This window comes from Homo sapiens, chromosome 7 (assembly GCF_000001405.40).
Source record: "Homo sapiens chromosome 7, GRCh38.p14 Primary Assembly".
In the NCBI taxonomy this organism is placed as follows: Eukaryota; Metazoa; Chordata; class Mammalia; order Primates; family Hominidae; genus Homo; species Homo sapiens.
Genome location: NC_000007.14, coordinates 69,001,303 through 69,003,294, shown reverse-complemented (window position 1 = coordinate 69,003,294; position 1,992 = coordinate 69,001,303). Strand labels below are relative to the sequence as shown.

Here is a 1,992-nt window from a genome sequence, read left to right as displayed (position 1 = left end):
GTGCTGGGATTACAGGCATCAGCCACCATGCCTGCACATACATCTGACACCAAATGTGTAGATTTTCCCTCCCGTACTAGCTAAGCCTCCAACTCTCCAGACACCAACTGGTATCCTACAGTTAATTTAATTCTGACACTAACTACCTTTAGTTAGTGCAGACCCCACAGGTTAAGGGCTCAGTCCCACAAGATTGCCCCTACTTCAGATGCCAATGGTAAGTAATGGGTTTCCAGTCTGACCTGGCTACAAATCAGGGCTCCTACAGCCCTCTCCTCAGTTTTGATACTTTGCTATAAAGGCTCACAGACCTCAGGAAAACACTTTGCTTACATATAATGGTTTATTATAAAGGATATCAATAAACAGGCAGATGCAGTCGTGCATAGAGGAAGGTGTGGGGAAGGTTTGCAGAGCTTCGATACCCTCTCTGGGCACACCACCCTCCCAGCACCACAATGAGTTCACCAGCCCAGAAGCTCCCTGAATCCTGTTCATTGGGGTTTTTTATGGAAGTTCTGAAACCATCCCTACACATTAGGTCACCTTGCTCTCTGACCTGCTTCCTCATAGTTGCTTGGTGACTCTTGCCCCAGAATCACACAGACCCTGTCCTCTTAACAGCTCTATAGATAACAACTTAAGTATTCTGAAACACTGCATTTTCTCTTTGAGATATTCTTTCAGGTCTTGCATACCAATGAAACTACTGACATCAGCTGGTCTGAAGGATCCCACAAGGAGCTGACTCACCAAAGAATGCAGTTTCCACTTCCTGATGATTTCATCCCCCTTTCCTCAACCAGTCAATGATCCCAATTTTCCAGTCCCTTGCCTGCCATGGTCCCCTCAAAATTCCCAGCCCAGAACTCCTTGGAGAGATGGTTTTGAGCGTTCCTCCTGTCTCCTCATTTGGCTTCCCTGTGATCATTAGACTGTTTCTCTGCTGCAAACCCTGTTGTCTCAGTGTATTGGTCTGTTACTGTGCAGTGTGCATACGAATCTGGTGGTCCTGTTACAGTTTCATTATGTGGGCATGATTGCTGAAGTCATTGGCCATTGGTGATTGAACTCAATCTCCATCCACTCTCCACTTCCAATAACAAGTTATTGATGATTTGGGGGAATATGGGAGAGTGGGGCTAAAAGTTCCAATCTTCTAATTACATAGGTGGTTTCTCTGACAACCAGCTCCCATCATCTGACAGTCACCTCATTAGCAGAAACTCAGGTATGACTAAAGAACTTGCTAAGAATAACAAAAGATGCTCCTCCCACCTTCATCACTCAGAAAATTCTAAGGGTTTTAGAAGATCTGTGCCAAGAACCAGAGACAAAGACCAAATATCTATTTTTGATTATAACACAGTATCACAGGCTGGGGCAGGGTAAATGGAGAGGACGGAGGCTGGAGGATAGAATGAGGAGCCCAGCACTTTGAGAGGTAGAGGAAGATACTCAGGGTGGTGGGGGTGCAGACTAATGGTAGAGTGGGTGGGAACTGGGGGCAGTAAGAGGGAGACCCAAGGGATATGCTGGGGATGTGAAGGTATGAAACCATCTTTGCAAAATTATGACAGTAAGTGAAATCTGACATGGCTGACTTCATCTTGCTTCTAGTCTCACATGTTGGCTATGTTTCCTCATTCCTGGGCATGGGCCAAGCTAACTTTGTGGTAAATTTAGTTTATAGTTTATAAAATAGCCCTTCCCCTAAACTAAACTGCCCTTGTAAAACTAATGAAAGGCCACTAAGTTAGGAGGATGAGAAGGGCCTCTATTCTCTAAGGTGTAAGTACAGTTCAATGATTACCAGCCATTATTCCAGAAATCACAAGATATTGCAACTTGCCCAGTTATTCCTGCAGATAACATCACTATTGTAGAAACCAAGATTGGCCTTTTGAGATGACTTTTCAGGTTTTTGCATTTCTGATGACTGATGGCTCCACCTGGACTCACCAACCAGTACTGTGGCTCCCACCCAGGTAC

At 44.9% G+C, this 1,992-nt stretch overlaps 1 annotated feature.

The window, feature by feature from the left end:
* Window positions 204–1,403: an enhancer, noted in NCBI's record as "P300/CBP strongly-dependent group 1 enhancer chr7:68466879-68468078 (GRCh37/hg19 assembly coordinates)". NCBI's record gives its function as "activates an origin of replication core promoter dependent on BRD2, BRD4, P300/CBP, MED14 and CDK7 cofactors, with strong dependence on P300/CBP, by STARR-seq in HCT116 cells {active_cell/tissue: HCT116}" and the evidence as "EXISTENCE:reporter gene assay evidence [ECO:0000049][PMID:35650434]".